This window comes from Homo sapiens, chromosome 3 (genome assembly GCF_000001405.40).
Source record: "Homo sapiens chromosome 3, GRCh38.p14 Primary Assembly".
Taxonomy (NCBI): Eukaryota; Metazoa; Chordata; class Mammalia; order Primates; family Hominidae; genus Homo; species Homo sapiens.
The window spans coordinates 191,315,162-191,330,370 of record NC_000003.12 but is presented as its reverse complement, the minus strand read 5'-3'; the positions used below and the strand labels follow the sequence as shown (position 1 = coordinate 191,330,370).

Genomic DNA, 15,209 nt, shown 5'->3' with positions numbered 1-15,209 from the left:
AATGACAAGGCCATCAGTCCCCTGTTCCCCTCGCTCACTATTGTGTGTGTGTGTGTGTGTGTGTGTGTGTGTGTTTTGTTTGTAAGAAAATGCTTATAGTGGCTTCCCGCCCGCGCAGAACACAGCCAAGACTAAACTTTTAAACCTTGAGGAAGGTGGGAAAGTCAGCCAGCCAGACGCCGGCCTAGGAAAAGTAGGGAGAGAAGGAGGGAAAGAGTCATGTTTCAAAACAAAGGCTCCACACGGAACTGAATGTCAACCCCTCTCCACTTCCCAGCCTTCAAGCCAGCCAGGCTGGGCCTCGATTTTTTAGAAGCGGAGTAAGTCAGATTCACCCGGCTCTCAGCGTCCACTGAGGCTTTGCGATGCACGAGAACACGGGCACAGCCACCTACTTGCTGGGGCTGCTGCTAGCCCCCCCCCCCCCCAACCACCCCCTTGAGAAAAAACGGGCTTGGAACGTCGGAGACTTGCCCAACGTCCCACACTAGAACCTGAATTCAATTCCTTTCACGTCCGGGCAAGGCCAACGCAGGGCGGGCACCGGGCGAGGGCCGCGGGAGCCGAAATGGCAACGCCCCTGACCTGAGAGAACCTCGGGCTGGGAGAGGGGAGGGTCCCGCGCGCTCTCCCTCCGGGGCCCTTACCTTCCTTGACTCCAGGCAGCTTGGACTGGTCGATGCTGACTTCAGCCATACCGGGCCAGGGTCCCGGTTGCCCCTTTAACGCGGGCTTCCCGGTCACCGCCGGCGCCGAGCGGGGCCCCGAGCGCAGCAGCAGCGCCGGACGCGGCGCAAAGTCCGGCCGGCAGGGCTCGCAGGCCGGAGAACGGAGCGGGTCGGGCGGGCAGGGGCTGGTGACCAAAGCAGCGGGAGACGGTCCCCGAGGCACCAAGCTGGCGGCCCAGCTGCCCCGCCGCGGCCACCTGCTCCGCGTCCCCGGCCCCAATCGATACCAAATATCCGGAGCCCGGAAATGGACCGGGGCCGTCCAGTACGGAGGGAGAGAGGAGACAGAAAGGCGGGCGGGCCGGCTGGGGGAGGGGGAGCTGCAGGTCTGTAACCGCAATTGCGAGTGGCTGGCGAGCGAAGATCAGCGCCCGCTGCCGCCTCGCTGTTGTCTCCTTTGTGCTCAGTGACGCGCCGCCTGAGGCTGGGGCCCCGCTGTGCTCCCGCCCCCGGGCCCTGCCCCCCTCCTACGGGAGGGTCGCGTCTTTAGGTGGGGGCCTTGTATCCTAAAGGCCTCAACAAAAAGGCCACACGGGTCACCTAAAACATAGTCTTTCCCGTGAGCGGTGTAGTCAGCATTCTGTGGTCTGGTTCTGGGATTGAGATTAACACAGGATGTTTACTGCATGCTTGCCTCTCTCTCATACACTCTTTTTGCACCCGGAATTAGAGGAGAGATGGTAGATGGCCATAAAAACCCCAAATACAACGTACAGAATGAAGAGCAGCTGATAAAATTCTGGGCCAGTTTGGAGTAGAGTGTGTACACAATCAGCTGGGAGAACTGAGTCATTCATTCATCAAAATCGCATGAATGTGTCTACCAAGTGTGATGTTAGGTACTGTGGGTGATAACGAGGCGTCAGACTTATCTCTGTTATAGCGCTGCACACATTGGATTGTAATTGTGACATTTCTATCTCTCTAAAATAGACAACCTCTCCTGTTTCATCTCCTGGCAACAGAATGCATCCTCCTTTTGGGAAACTGCCTCTTTCCCCACTCCTCAGAGGTGAGCTTCTCTCCCAAACGTGTGCCATGTCTGAACCTCGAGACTACCCCATCACTCTTCCCCCTTCCTCCACCGACATGGGTTCATCGAAGGGTGGCTGGGTGACCAAGACAGGTCAAACAGAATACTTTCCTGGGTACATAAAGAGTTACATATTCTGTTTCTTGTGGAAAAGATCTGCCTCTAGGAGATGATGAGGCCAAACTGAAGACAGAAGCAAAGAGAAGAGAAAGGGAGATGAAGAGGGCATGTTCTGATGTTACCACAGTAGCAAAGCAGGATATCCCCAGAGCAGCTGGCATTTCAGCAACTCCTGGATTCTGGGATCTACAACCCGCAAACTCTCAACTTATCCTCAGTTTTGCTTAAGCTAGTAATAGTTGATTTTCTGTCACTCACAGCTCAGAGTCCCAGTATGAGAGGCCACGTAGGGGAGGTTTTATTTGAACTTGACATTGAAAAGTAGGTGGATTTTAGGCTAGCAAAAATTTAGAAGACTTTCAAGGCCAGAGGGTAGCAAAGTATAGCCCACAGGCCAAATCTACGCCACTGAATTTGAATGACTGTTTTTTATATGTTCAAATAATTACATTTCAAATCACTACATAAATAGGACATAATATTTTCGACCTTGCCTCTTAAGCCTCAAAGTCTAAAATATGCTTTACAGGAAAAGTTTACCCACCCCAGTGCTAGGCAGAGATAACACTCAGCAGGTTAAATGTGGGAATAAGAAGGAAGTGGTATTAGAAAGGTAGATTTATGGGAATTTTTTAATTGTCCTGTAATCTAGTAATTTTTTTTAACTTCCTGTGGTCTAGAGAATATTTATAACAGCAGTATTTTCTGTTTCCCTCCCCAAATCTATCGTTTCTACTTCTCTACCAAGCCGTGCCTTTGGATGCCTACAGATAAATCACTAGGCCCCTTTGACCTGTGGCTTCCTGTTGTGATTGACCAATGGGAAGCACTGGCAGAAAATCAAAAGAAGGGAGGAGAGAAATATCAGAGTATTCTTCTTTCCTTTAACCCAAAATTTTGGCCACAGTCCTGTCCCTCTATGACTACAGGGCCTGTGTAGAGGCCTCTTTTCCATGGCCTCAGCTCTCATGGGTCTCTAATAAAACAATTTGTTTCCAGTGTCCCTTCAGGCCTAGAGTGTGATGGCTTCCCCTAGTTCCTTTTGGCTCACTGCAACTTCTGCCTCCCAGGTTCCAGTGATTCTCGTGCCTCAGCCTCCCGAGTAGCTGGGATTACAGGTGTGCACCACAACGCCTGGCTAATCTTTTGTATTTTTAGTAGAGGCAGGGTTTTGGCATGTTGGCCAGGCTGGTCTGGAACTCCTGGCCTCAAGTGATCCGCCCACCTCGGCCTCCCAAAGTGCTGGGATTACAGGCACGAGCCACCACGCCCGGCCTCCCCTAGTTCTCTTAACCCAGTTAATACCTCTGAAATTGTCTCTTCATTACATTCTTTTCAGTAAAATCACTTACAGTGCACCTCCTGTTTCCTACCTAGACTGTGACTGTTACAGTAAGATATGCCAAAAGTAAGATATGCTTAAAATATGATGTGCTTACAGTAAGATATGCATAAAAATATCCACATTTCTGGCCTAGAGAAGAAATGGAAACATATATAATAGCCACAACTATTGTTTAGAGAATCGGCTGCTTTCAGCAGAAAAAGTAATGAAAACCAGGAGCCCTTTTCAGGTACTAGAGCAGATGACCTGGAAATCCACCCCATAGTTGGGCTTTCCTTCTCCTACTCCACACCTGTTCTGTATAGGTCCCCAAGCTGAGCAAACAATTAGAGCTCAGCATTACAGAGTAGGCAACTTCTAGCAAAGGACTGACAGTAACACGGGGAAGAGCTAGTATCTTTTGAGTATTTATAGGGAATGAACATATGGTGAATTTCTGTAACAAGTTTACATCTTTTGGTGTCCTGAAATGTCCATTTTGCAATAAAAGAGAAAGCATAAGGCTTCTCAGGATGGATACAGATCCCTAATTTGGGGCAGATGCCAAACAAGTAATTCAGCATCAAATCACAACTTGAATGCCATAGAGAGAAATAAGGATTTTATTTATAAGGCAATATGGAGGCATCAATTGATTTTTTTTTCTAGGTGGATATTACATGATACATTTTCTACTTTTATAAAGTGAATTTGGTAACAATAAAATGCTTGGATTGGAGTAGGGAGACTTTGGTCATAAGAAATGAAAACTCCAGTTTGAAAACTACCAAATTCCACAAAAGCATCCCCCAGTTAGAGCTTACCTTACTAGAAGGTAAGCTCTGTGAGGGCAGGGGTTTATCTGTTTGATTCCCTAATATCCGCGTATCTAGAAAAGTGCTTGGCACATAATAGGCACTCAATAAATATTTGTTGCATAAATAAATAAATATAGTTATCCAATTTTATTATCAGTAAGAATCACAAATTAAAAGTAAGTTAAAAAAACAATATAGGCAAATGAATAAATTACACTGGACCTTGGCAAAACAGGAAAGGGGACCCACAGAACTATACTTCTGGAAAGAATTATCTGTCTCCTTGGCCCCCAGTGCTTCCTAGCTCATCAGCATAATATACCTAAGAGAACAGTTCCAAAAATGAGGATGCAATTAGAACTGTTATTCACTTTCACCAAGAAGACTGTATGAATATTCTAAGGTTGCCATAACAAAATACCACAGACTGAATGGCTTAAATAACAGAAATTATTATATATGTTTTTCACAGTTCTGGAGGCTAGAAGTCCAAGAGCAAGGTGTCAGAACATTTGGTTTCTTCTGAAATCCCTCTTTTTAGTTTGCAGATTGGATTAGGGCTAACCCAAATGTCTTCCTTAAAGACCCTGTCTGCAGTGCAGTCCCTCTGAATTACTGGAGGCTAGGGCTTCAACATGTGAATCTTAGGGACAGATAATTCAGCCCATAGTAGAGACTATTAGGACAATAATCCAACCGTACAGTTTAGGCCTCTTTACTCCAGGCCTTGAAGCATTTTTGTCTGGACTCTCATAACATATGTAAGTTCCCCAACCCTATTCATGCTCTCAACTTTCCTCAGTTGCTCAAGTCCCCTCACCCTATGGAATTCACTATCAGTTACTCACAAAATTCCCCATATCTCCTTTGTAACTATTCCCTTTCCCTTCTTTTCCTACTGGAACTCAGGGGTCACCTGGGGACATTGCTCTTCCAAGAGCCCTCTAAATTAGAGGCTGTTTCTTCTAACATACCCTAGACCCCATTGGACCTGGAGGTGCCATGGTTTTTATCTTATTGCCTTTTTTAGAACATATGTCTTTCCTATTTTTAAATATTTTCAACTTCTTTAAAGCTCATATCCTCAAATTCTGTCACCTACTACATACCCTTATTGCAATTATCTGTACACTTCTGGGTAACTTCTTACTCCTTACAGATGAGACCTTTTTTTCTCACTCTCTGTCATCACAGAACACTTGATGATTTCAGTGTATACATAAACATACAGAGTCATTCCTTCTGGTAACCTGATCTCTCTTTCCTTGACTTCCTTATTAATATTATTTTTTTTTCCTGAGATGGAGTCTCACTGTGTCACTGAGGCTGGAGTGCAGTGGCACAATCTCGGTTCACTGCAACCTCCAACTCCCAGGTTCAAGCGATTCTCATGCCTCAGCCTCCCAAGTAGCTGGGATTACAAGAGTGTACCACCACGCCCAGCAAATTTTTTGCATATTTAGTAGAGAGGAGGTTTCACCATGTTGGCCAGGCTGGTCTTGAACTCCTAATCTCGAGTGATCTACCTGCCTCAGCCTCCCAAAGTGCTGTGATTACAGGCATGAGCCACCACGCCGGGCCTTGACTTCCTTATTCTGATGAGCTTATACCCCATTGTATTAGCCTATTCTCACGCTGCTAATAAAGACATCACCCAAGACCAGGTAATTTATAAGGAAAGAGGTTTAATGGACGCCACATGGCTGGGGAGGCCTCACAATCATGGCAGAAGGCAAATGAGGAGCAAAGTGACATCTTATATGGTGGCAGGCAAGAGAGCTTGTGTAGGGGAAACTTCTCCTTTATAAAACCATCAGATTTCATGACACTTATTCACTGTCAGGAGAATAGCATGGGAAAGATCCGCCTCCATAATTCAATTATCTCCCACCAGGTCCCTCCCACCACATGTGGGAATTATGGGAGCTACAATTTAAGATGAGATTTGGGTGGGAACATCGCCAAGCCATATCACCCTATCCCATCTGTCTTACTCTATTTTCAGTTGCTTATAACAGAATATCTGAAACTGGTAATTTATAAAGAAAATGAATGTGTTTGTTACACTTATGAATGCCTCCAATTGAAGGAGTCCCATCTGGTAAGAGCCTTCTTGCTGGTGGAGAATCTCTACAGAGACCCAAGGTGACACAGAGCATCACATGGTGAAGAGGCTAAATGATCTAGCTAAGGTCTCTCTTCTTCTTGTAAAGCCTCCAGTCCCACTCCAATGAGAACCCATTAGTGATTCAGCAATGGATTAATGCATTCATAAGGGCAGAGCTCTCATGACCCAATCACCTCTTAAAGTCTCCATCTCTTCATACTGCCATGCTGCTGACTAAATTTCAACGTGAGTTTTGGAAGGCACAACATTCAAGCCATCGCACCATCTCCGCCAACTCCTCTCAGGGTATTTCACTGGAATTTGCCATTACTAAAAACTCATTCTTTGTCAATTTCAAATGTCTTCCAAGTACCACTTCTCTCTCTCCAACTCACTCCTAGAGGTACCCCACATTCAACAATTCTTCAATTATACAAGAACCTATAATCTGTTTGCCCTGCCACCCTGGTACTGCCTCTCACTTGACCCTATACCCATTTTCTTCTTAACTGGCTTAAATTTGACAGCTCATTTTGATAATCACGCCCTACTCAATACCCTCAATTCCCTTGTCTCTGTCTTCCTCTTTTCTACTTCCATAGCAAGATGCCAAGACATGGCTAATCTACTATAAACTCTACATATTGCCCTGATCAATTAACTTCCTATTCCAAAACACACTGATAGCACACCTTCTTCCCTTATACCTACAAGGTCCCTAGCCTCTTTTTACTCTTAGTGTCTTAGATTTGCGAGAAAATAAAAGCACTGAGGTCAGGCGCGATAGCTCATGCCTCTAATCCCAGCACTTTGGGAGGTCCAGGTGGGCGAACCACCTGAGGTCAGAAGTTCGAAACTAGCCTGGCCAACATAGTGAAACCTTGTCTCTACTAAAAATACAAGAATTAGCTGGGCATGGTGTCCATGCCTGTAGCCCTAGTTATTCAGGAGGCTGAGAATTGTTTGAACCCAGGAGGCAGAAATAGCAGTGAGCCCAGATCTCTAGCCTGGGCAACAGAGCAAAACTCTGCACTCCACTGCACTCTAGCCTGGGCGACAGCGAGAGTCTGTCTCAAAAATAAATAAATAAATAAAATAAAATAAAATAACAGCACTGAAAAGAGAACCTGAACATCATACCCTTTCCAAATCTATCAACCCATCAACTTCTCCTAAGACTGACATCTTCATTTGGACTCTGGATAGTTGAGTGATAGTCAAAGCATTTAACAACCAGAATGGCAGAAGCACAAACATAGCACCAAAGCAGTCTGTGGGGCTTTCTTCTGTTCCAATTGTTACCTTTTAGTTTCTGGATGGTGGGCAGGTCCAAGAAGTTCCAAGGGAAAGGAGGTTGGAGGTGGGAGCACTCAAGGGGCTCAGAAGAGCAATTATTTACAAACTGTCCTGAAAGTATGTTAGTATCTTAGCAGTCATTATTGCTTTGGTTGTGCATGTCTGCTAAACATCAGCCCTGATGAGACCCCATTTCTTCATTTTCTCAAAGATATTACTCCCAAAATTTTCTCTCTCTACTGCATCATTATTTTTTCCTCTAAAACTTGCTGTAATTCCTCCACCTTAACAAACATTTGTCATATCTCCAGTCCCCTTCAGCTATTATAGTTTTCTGCTCCTATTTACAGCAAACCTCTTTGGAATATTTGTCTATTCTTATGGTCTGTACTTCCTACTCTCTCATTCTTTCTTGAATCTATACTAATCATACATTTGCCTACACCACTCCAAAAACAAACTGTTCTTATTAACATTAGCAGTGACTTCCATGTTGCTAACACGGAGATCAATCTCATTCTCCTTTTATTGGCTAATTGTTCACCATTTAACCAAGATAGGTCTACTTTCATGTTTGAAACATTGTTTTGCTTTTGGTTTGTTATTTTATTTCATTTTGTGTTTTTCTTATCTCCCAAGACAACTCTAAATCACTGACCACATTGTGGAAAAGTGACCTAAGTCAATGAATGCTCAACACTTGAGTTTCTTTTGGATAGTGTTATCTGCCAATTATTGGAAATAGTTATGGGCTAGCAACTCTACCTAAAATGTTTCTACCAGGTTACAAAAAAAGTACATCTGACACCAAATTCATACATTATATATGAATGTTCATATATTATACATAATGAATGTTATGTACATATACATATAGTCACACACACACACACACATATATATGTATATATATTTTTCCGATGGAGTTTTTCTCTTGTCACCCAGGCTGGAGTGCAATGGCGCAATCTTAGCTCACTGCAACCTCCGCCTCCCAGATTCAAGCAATTCTCCTGCCTCAGCCTCCCGAATAGCTGGGATTACAGGCACCCGCCACCACGCCTGGCTAATTTTTGTATTTTTAGTAGAGGAGGGGTTTCACCATGTTGGCCAGGCTGGTCTTCAACTCTTGACCTCAGGTGATCTGCCCACCTTGGCCTCCCAAAGTGCAGGGATGACAGGCATGAGCCACCGCACCTGGCCCTAGTCACATATATTTTTATATATCATATATACACATATTTGTATGTACACATACACATTTATTAGCAGATAGATACAAAGAAGTCATAAAGACAGTTTTGAAAACATGTTGGAGTCCCAATTTCCTATCCTCTATGGGTTCTGACTACACAGTCTATAAAAGATTTGTGCAAACACAGACATTATTTTGGAATCATGCCTTGGGAATCATTGCGAAAAGTAAAGGCTGAAAAGCTCCTTTGGCGCATAAACCTTGTCCAAATAAGAGTGTTAAAATATTTCAGGCAATTCATATATCTCCACATATTTTGAGTACCCACAATTTTACTAGTGAAAACCTATTTCTTGCATTCATTAAATGATGCTTTAGAGTTCCTATTATTAATCTAAGATTTTAAAAATAGTTAAAAGGTCTTACTAAAACTTCCTTTAGAGTATAGCCTTCTGATAATCATCTGGGTTGCAATACCTGCAGTTTGAATTCCTAGCTAGGCAACTGACTGCCACTGTACTGTACATAAAAACTAACCACTCCCACCCCTCCCCACACACACTTACATCATTTCTTATCATAGTCTTTAGTGTTTCTGCCCCCATTTTCCAAACATTTAAATGCTACAGTGTTTCTGATTCAGACAATACTCCAGTTCTCAAACTTCTTCTACTTCCTAACTATTCTTACTCTGGAGGATTTATTGAGGAATAATGTCGCATGAAGCTTATTTTGTAAGTCTTAATCCCATTAATCAGGGAGAAGCCCTTTAGACCTAATCATCTCTTATAGGCCCTGCCTCTTAATACTATCAGTTGGTGATACCTGTATTCTGGAGAGACACATTCAAACCACAGCACTGACTGACTACTTTTTCATACTAAGTTGAATATTTAATTAGCACTTATTCAGGAATAATCAAAACTGATGTCATAATTTCTTCAATTTACTTCACCTCTGTACTTACACAGTTGTCACATCAAAAACTTTACAGTCATTTATTCTTTACTGTCTTTCTTTCACACCCTGCATTTATCCTTCAGCAGATTCAGTCAACTCAAGCTTTAAAATACAACAAAAATTCCACATCTCATCTCCTGACTGCTGCTACCGTGGTCTAAACCCTCATCATCTCTCACTTGGGTTTTGGCCGTAGCCTCCTTCGCAGTTTCTTGGTTCTGCTCTTATTCCCCTGGAGTTTACTGACACAGAAGCCAGAGTGACTTATACCTTAAAGCATGCCAGAGCATGTCATTGATTTGTACATGAACCTTGGACGGTATCTCATCTTCTCAGAATTCAGTCTAAAGTGCTTAGCATCATCTGCTAAAGTCACCTCCTGGCTTCCTCTCATTCCCTTCTCACTGCCCTGTCCTCATATTGACCAACTTGATGTTCTTTGAATAAGCCACGCATAGTCTTGCTTCAGGGCCTTTTCACTTAACTGGTCCCTCTTCCTAGAAAGACCCTGTATGCCAATAACTGTGTGATTTACTCCTCCAATTTTATTCAAGTGTCTGCTCAGATGTCACCTTCTCCTAGTGACTTTCCCTGATCTTATCTAAAATAGCAATCCAATCTGTCATTCCATATCTTGCCCACTCTTTTTTTTTATCTCCAGGTCAGTTATTCCTGCCAATATTATATGTCTGTCCAATCTACCACAAAGACTGAAACTTTGTCTATGTGATTTAATGCTGTAATTGTCAGTACATAGAATAGTGTTGACATATAATTGCTGCTCATGAAATATGTATTGAGTAAATTGCTGGATAAAGCATTTGATAAAGAATAATTGAAGTGTATCTAGACTATGCTGACCAAATAATAATTTTCCAAAAAGTAAGGTTTTTAAAAAAAAAAAAAGTGGCTTTTTTTTTTTTTTGAGACCAAGTCTCGCACTGTTGCCTGGGCTGGTGTGCAGTGGCGCGATCTTGGCTCACTGCAACCTCCGCCTCCCAGGTTCAAGCACGTCTCCTGCCTCAGCCTCCCAAGTGGCTAGGATGACAGGCACCCGCCACCACACCTGGCTAATTTTTTTTTTTTTTTGTATTTTTAGCAGAGACAGGGTTTCACCACGTTGGCCAGGCTGGTCTTGAACTCCTGACCTCGTGATCCACCCGTCTCAGCCTCCCAAAGTGCTAGGATTACACATAAGAGTCACCATGCCCAGCCAAAAATAGTTTTTAAGAAAGGACTTTTAAAAAAAGAACCTATACCTTAATAGACAGAAGGTGTAATTTAAAATATTTAGAGAAGCAACTAAGTTAAAAAGAAACAGATATCTTCTCCTGCTTTGCCGTGAGGGACATTTGCTATACCAACATGTTGTGAAGTCTAATTTTTGTTTACGAGCCATTTATTTATTACAGATAAATGTCCAGTTAGAAAAAGAAGTAAAATATGAAATAGCTTATCAATACCTATTGTCATGTGAGAGATTTTCTATGGCTATCACAAGGGTGTAGGCGAGAGACAATGATAAAGTGAGTCAACGTGGAGCCAGGGCAAAGGAATCTCAGCCAAGAGCTTGGCAGGGACTAGAGTAGGATGATAGCAGTTTGCATATCTAGGGATAGTATACATATTGGCACAGGTACTGATTAGTACAAGGAGCTAATGCAAGGAGGACTGTGAGCTAATACAGAGGAAAATTCAGCAAAGTGTCAGCTATGGCATAAGTTTCCTAACCTGTTAGCTATAAACATCTCGTATGATAGAGTTATTATGGTAATTTCTACAAATGTATATGTACCTCAAAAATAATCTACAGACTATATAAAATAAAAGTTTTTCATAAAGCATATTTTGAATTTTTAAATGAATACAAGTGCAGCTGTGATTAATACATATAAAATTTACAAATATTACTAAGATCATGTGATTTGCAATTATCTATTTTTTCAACCCAAGGTTACAAAAAACAAAAACAAAAACAAAAAACAACTATGTATGGAGGGAAATCTTAATTAAAAGATCTTCAGCCAGGCACAGCAGCTCACACCTGTCATCCCAACACTTTGGGAGGCCAAGGTGGGTGGATTGCTCGAACTCAGGAGTTCCAGACCAGCCTGGGCAACATTGTGAAACCCCATCTCTACCAAAAATATTAAAAATTAGCCGGACATGGTGGTGTGCACCCGTGGTTCCAGCTACTCAGGAGGCTGAGGTGGGAGCATCACTTGAGCCTGGAGAGGTGGAGGTTGCAGTGAGCTGAGATTGTGCCACTGTACTCCAGCCTGGGTGACAGAGTGAGATTGCGTCTCAAAAATAAAAAATAAAACATAAAAGAAGATCTTCAAGCTGGAAACATTGCAACCCAATTTAAAGGATGAACCATTCAGTCAACTTTTCTGCAGGAGGCCTATAGTTTAGGAAATTCCTTTTCTACAGGCTACTTTTCTTGTGACCTCAGATTTATGAGATTTCCTCAAGATTTTGTTTTGCCCTATGTGGAAAATGCTTAAAGTATGAAGAGTATTCAGTGCTAGAGAGAAGTCTGGTGAAACTATACAAATATGAATGGGAAATATAGACATTGATTACAGTAGCTACCTCTGAGAATGGAGAAAAGGAAAACAGAATGTAGGAAAATGCATGTCACAGATTATTGCTTTAAAAATGACCACAACATTGCTTCTCATCGCACATGCCCTCCTGCAGTACGACATTATAACCCTCCATCAAAATGTGGAATCAATTTCCCCTCCTGTTGAACCTGGGCTGGACCTGTAACTAATTAACCAATAAAATGCAGTAGAAGTGACATTCTGAGACTTATAAGCCTTGACATAAGAAGGCCAGGCAACTTCTGTTTTCATGCTCTTAAGGAAGTCAGTTGTCTTGTTAAAAAAAATAAAAATAAAAAAACCTGGCCGGGTGCGATGGCTCATGCCTGTAATCCCAGTACTTTGGGAAGGTGAGCTGAGCAGATTGCCTGAGGTCAGGAGTTCGAGACCAGTCTGGCCAACATGCTGAAACACCGTCTCTACTAAAAATACAAAAAATTAGTTGGGCGTAGTGGTGCATGCCTGTAGGCCCAGCTTCTCGGGAGGCTGAGTAAGGAGAATCGCATTAACCAGGGAGGCAGAGGTTGCAGTGAGCCAAGATGGTGCCACTGCACTTCAGCCTGGGCGACAGAGGGAAACTCCAACTCAACAACAACAACAACAACAACAACAACAAAGACTATCCTAATGAGAGGTGACAACGTGCTAGCAGCCGTCGCTCGCTCTCAGCGCCTCCTCGGCCTTGGCATCCACTCTGGCCACACTTGAGGAGCCCTTCGCCCGCAGCTGCACTGTGGGAGCCCCTCTGTGGGCTGGCCAAGGCCGGAGCCAGCTCCCTCTGCTTGCAGGGAGGTGTGGAGGGAGAGGTGCAGACGGGAACCAGGGCTGCGCGTGCTGCTTGCGGGCTAGCACGAGTTCCAGGTGGGTACAGGCTTGGGAGGCCCCCCCGCACTCAGAGAAGCTGGCTGGTGCCCCCGGCCCCAGGCAGTGAGGGGCTTAGCACCCGGGCCAGCAGCTGAGGAGAGTGCACCAGGTCCCCCAGCACTGAGCGCCGCACTGGAACTCTTTCCAGGCCTCAGCCGCCTCCCCGCGGGGCAGGGCTGGGGTACTGCAGCCCGCTATGCCCGAGCCCCCACCCCCATGGGCTCTGCACGGCCCGAGCCTCCCTGACGGGCACCACCCCCTGCTCCAAGGCGCCACGTCCCATTGACCGCCCAAGGGATGAGGAGTGCAGGCACGCAGTGCGGGACTAACGGGAGGCTCCGCCGGCAGCCCCGGCGTGGGATCCGCTAGGCTAAGCCAGCTGGGCTCCTGAGTCGGGTGGGGACTTGGAGAACTTTTATGTCTAGCTGGAGGATTGTATATGCGCCAATCAGCACTCAGTGTCTAGCTGGGGGTTTGTGGATGCACCAATCAGCACCCTGTGTCTAGCTCAAGGTTTGTAAATGCACCAATCATCACCCTATGTCTAGCTCAAGGTTTGTAAAAGCACCGATCAGTGCTCTGTGTCTAGCTAATCAAGTGGGGACTTGGAGAACTTTTATGGCTAGCTAGAGGATTGTAAATGCACCAACCAGCACTCTGTGTCTAGCTCAGGGATTGTAAACACACGAATCGGTACCCTGTCAAAATGGACCAATCCGCTCTTTGTAAAACGGACCAATCAGCTCTCTGTAAAATGTACCGATCAGCAGGATGTAGGTGGGGTCAGATAAGGGAATAAAAGCAGGCTGCTGAGCTAGCAGCAGCAATCCGCTGGAGTGACTTTCACACTGTGGGAGATCTATTTTTTCGCTCTTTGCAGTAAATCTTGCTGCTGCTCACTCTTTGGGTCTGCACTGCCCATAAGAGCTGTAGCACTCACCGCGAAGGTCTGCAGCTTCACTCTTGAAACCAGAGAGACCACGAACCTACCGGGAGAAATGAACAAATTCCGGACGCACCATCTTTAAGAACTGTAACACTCACTGCGAGGATCTGCGGCTTCATTCTTTAAGTCTGTGAGACCAAGAACCCACCAATTCCGGCACACTAATATGCTGTTGGAAACTGGCTATATGGAAAGGCTATGTGGAAGAAAACAAACACCCCAGCCAACATAATGGAGCTCCCAGCTGACAGCTGACATCTAGCTGATTGCCAACCACTTTGGAAACTGATCTTCAAAACCCACTTGAGCTATGTCAAGAGAAGCCACCTGTGACACAGGTAAGAAGAGCTCTCTGACCTTACCCAATTTGCAGAAATTTGAATAAATAAACACATGCTACTGTATAAAGCTAAGAAGCTGTAGCATGCTGTATTATGCAGCAATAGATAACCAAAAGAATATGTTTCAATTATATATGTAAAGACAAATATGGCAGCATGTTTACCTTGAATCTGAGTGTGGTGCATTGGTGATTATTTAATTTTTCATAGGAAATACTGCATAACTAATAAAATTTAAAAACATATTTAGACTTGAACTTTTGCCCAAGAAGGAATAAATGGTTCTAAACAATTTCTTCTCCAAAAATGACGAAAAAGCTAGAGAAAACATGAGACGAATGTTCTGAAGCACTAGGCAATAGGTAGCATGACTCTGGCAGTGGAAAAAACACAAACTGTTTTTCCTCCGCCCTCACACCACAATAACAATCATCAACACAGAAGACTTCCATCACCAAATGTGTGAAGGGATTTCTTTATACATCATGCAACAATTAGTTCTGTAGCAGACACCAGCTGGGTGAACTCCAATCCAATTCCGACACTATCTACCTGGAGGTGGTATCAGATCCAGCAGCTTAGGGCTCAGTATCCAAGACTGCCCTTCACTTCCTATGCCAACCACAGGTCCCAAGTTGTTCTACCTGTGCTTCTGAGCGACCAGGTGTAAATCAGGGGTCACAGAACCCCCTCCTTGGGTTTGATTAATTTTGTAGAGTAGGCCGGGCGTGGTGGCTCATGCCTGTAATCCCAGCACTTTGGGAAGCTGAGGCGAGCAGATCACCTGAGGTCAGGAGTTCGAGACCAGCCTGGCCAAAATGGTGAAACCCCATCTCTACTAAAAATACAAAAATTGTCTGGGCATGGTGGC

At 44.3% G+C, this 15,209-nt stretch overlaps 2 protein-coding genes across 7 annotated transcripts in view, besides 4 other annotated features; one reads left to right on the top strand and one right to left on the bottom strand.

The window, feature by feature from the left end:
* CCDC50 (coiled-coil domain containing 50) overlaps positions 1-977 on the bottom strand; it is a 69,266-nt gene extending 68,289 nt beyond the window's left edge. For all 3 annotated transcript variants that reach the window (NM_178335.3, NM_174908.4, XM_011512460.2), the window contains exon 1: positions 648-977. In NM_178335.3, the coding sequence (NP_848018.1) occupies positions 648-696 (49 nt within the window). In that variant the 5' untranslated portion in view covers positions 697-977. The remainder of the gene's footprint in view (positions 1-647) is intronic.
* The window catches only part of UTS2B (urotensin 2B), a 79,015-nt gene that overhangs the window by 15,812 nt on the left and 47,994 nt on the right, over positions 1-15,209 (top strand). For 2 of the 4 annotated variants that reach the window (XM_011512631.3, XM_017006091.2), the window contains exons 1-2: positions 1,212-1,567; positions 1,662-1,740. The gene's annotated coding sequence lies outside the window, so the exon portion shown is untranslated. Of the gene's footprint in view, positions 1-1,211; positions 1,568-1,661; positions 1,741-13,931; positions 14,336-15,209 lie in introns of those variants that run through there. The other 2 variants (NM_198152.5, XM_047447899.1) reach the window with 2 other exon arrangements.
* Positions 208-808: an enhancer, noted in NCBI's record as "H3K27ac hESC enhancer chr3:191047352-191047952 (GRCh37/hg19 assembly coordinates)". NCBI's record gives its function as "activates a minimal SCP1, AML or CMV promoter by ChIP-STARR-seq in primed H9 embryonic stem cells {active_cell/tissue: H9 hESC(primed)}" and the evidence as "EXISTENCE:reporter gene assay evidence [ECO:0000049][PMID:30033119]".
* Positions 809-1,410: an enhancer, noted in NCBI's record as "NANOG-H3K27ac hESC enhancer chr3:191046750-191047351 (GRCh37/hg19 assembly coordinates)". NCBI's record gives its function as "activates a minimal SCP1, AML or CMV promoter by ChIP-STARR-seq in naive H9 embryonic stem cells {active_cell/tissue: H9 hESC(naive)}" and the evidence as "EXISTENCE:reporter gene assay evidence [ECO:0000049][PMID:30033119]".
* Positions 822-1,101: a silencer, noted in NCBI's record as "silent region_15004". NCBI's record gives its function as "represses an Ori minimal core promoter by ATAC-STARR-seq in GM12878 lymphoblastoid cells {active_cell/tissue: GM12878}" and the evidence as "EXISTENCE:reporter gene assay evidence [ECO:0000049][PMID:35858748]".
* Positions 1,202-1,281: a silencer, noted in NCBI's record as "silent region_15003". NCBI's record gives its function as "represses an Ori minimal core promoter by ATAC-STARR-seq in GM12878 lymphoblastoid cells {active_cell/tissue: GM12878}" and the evidence as "EXISTENCE:reporter gene assay evidence [ECO:0000049][PMID:35858748]".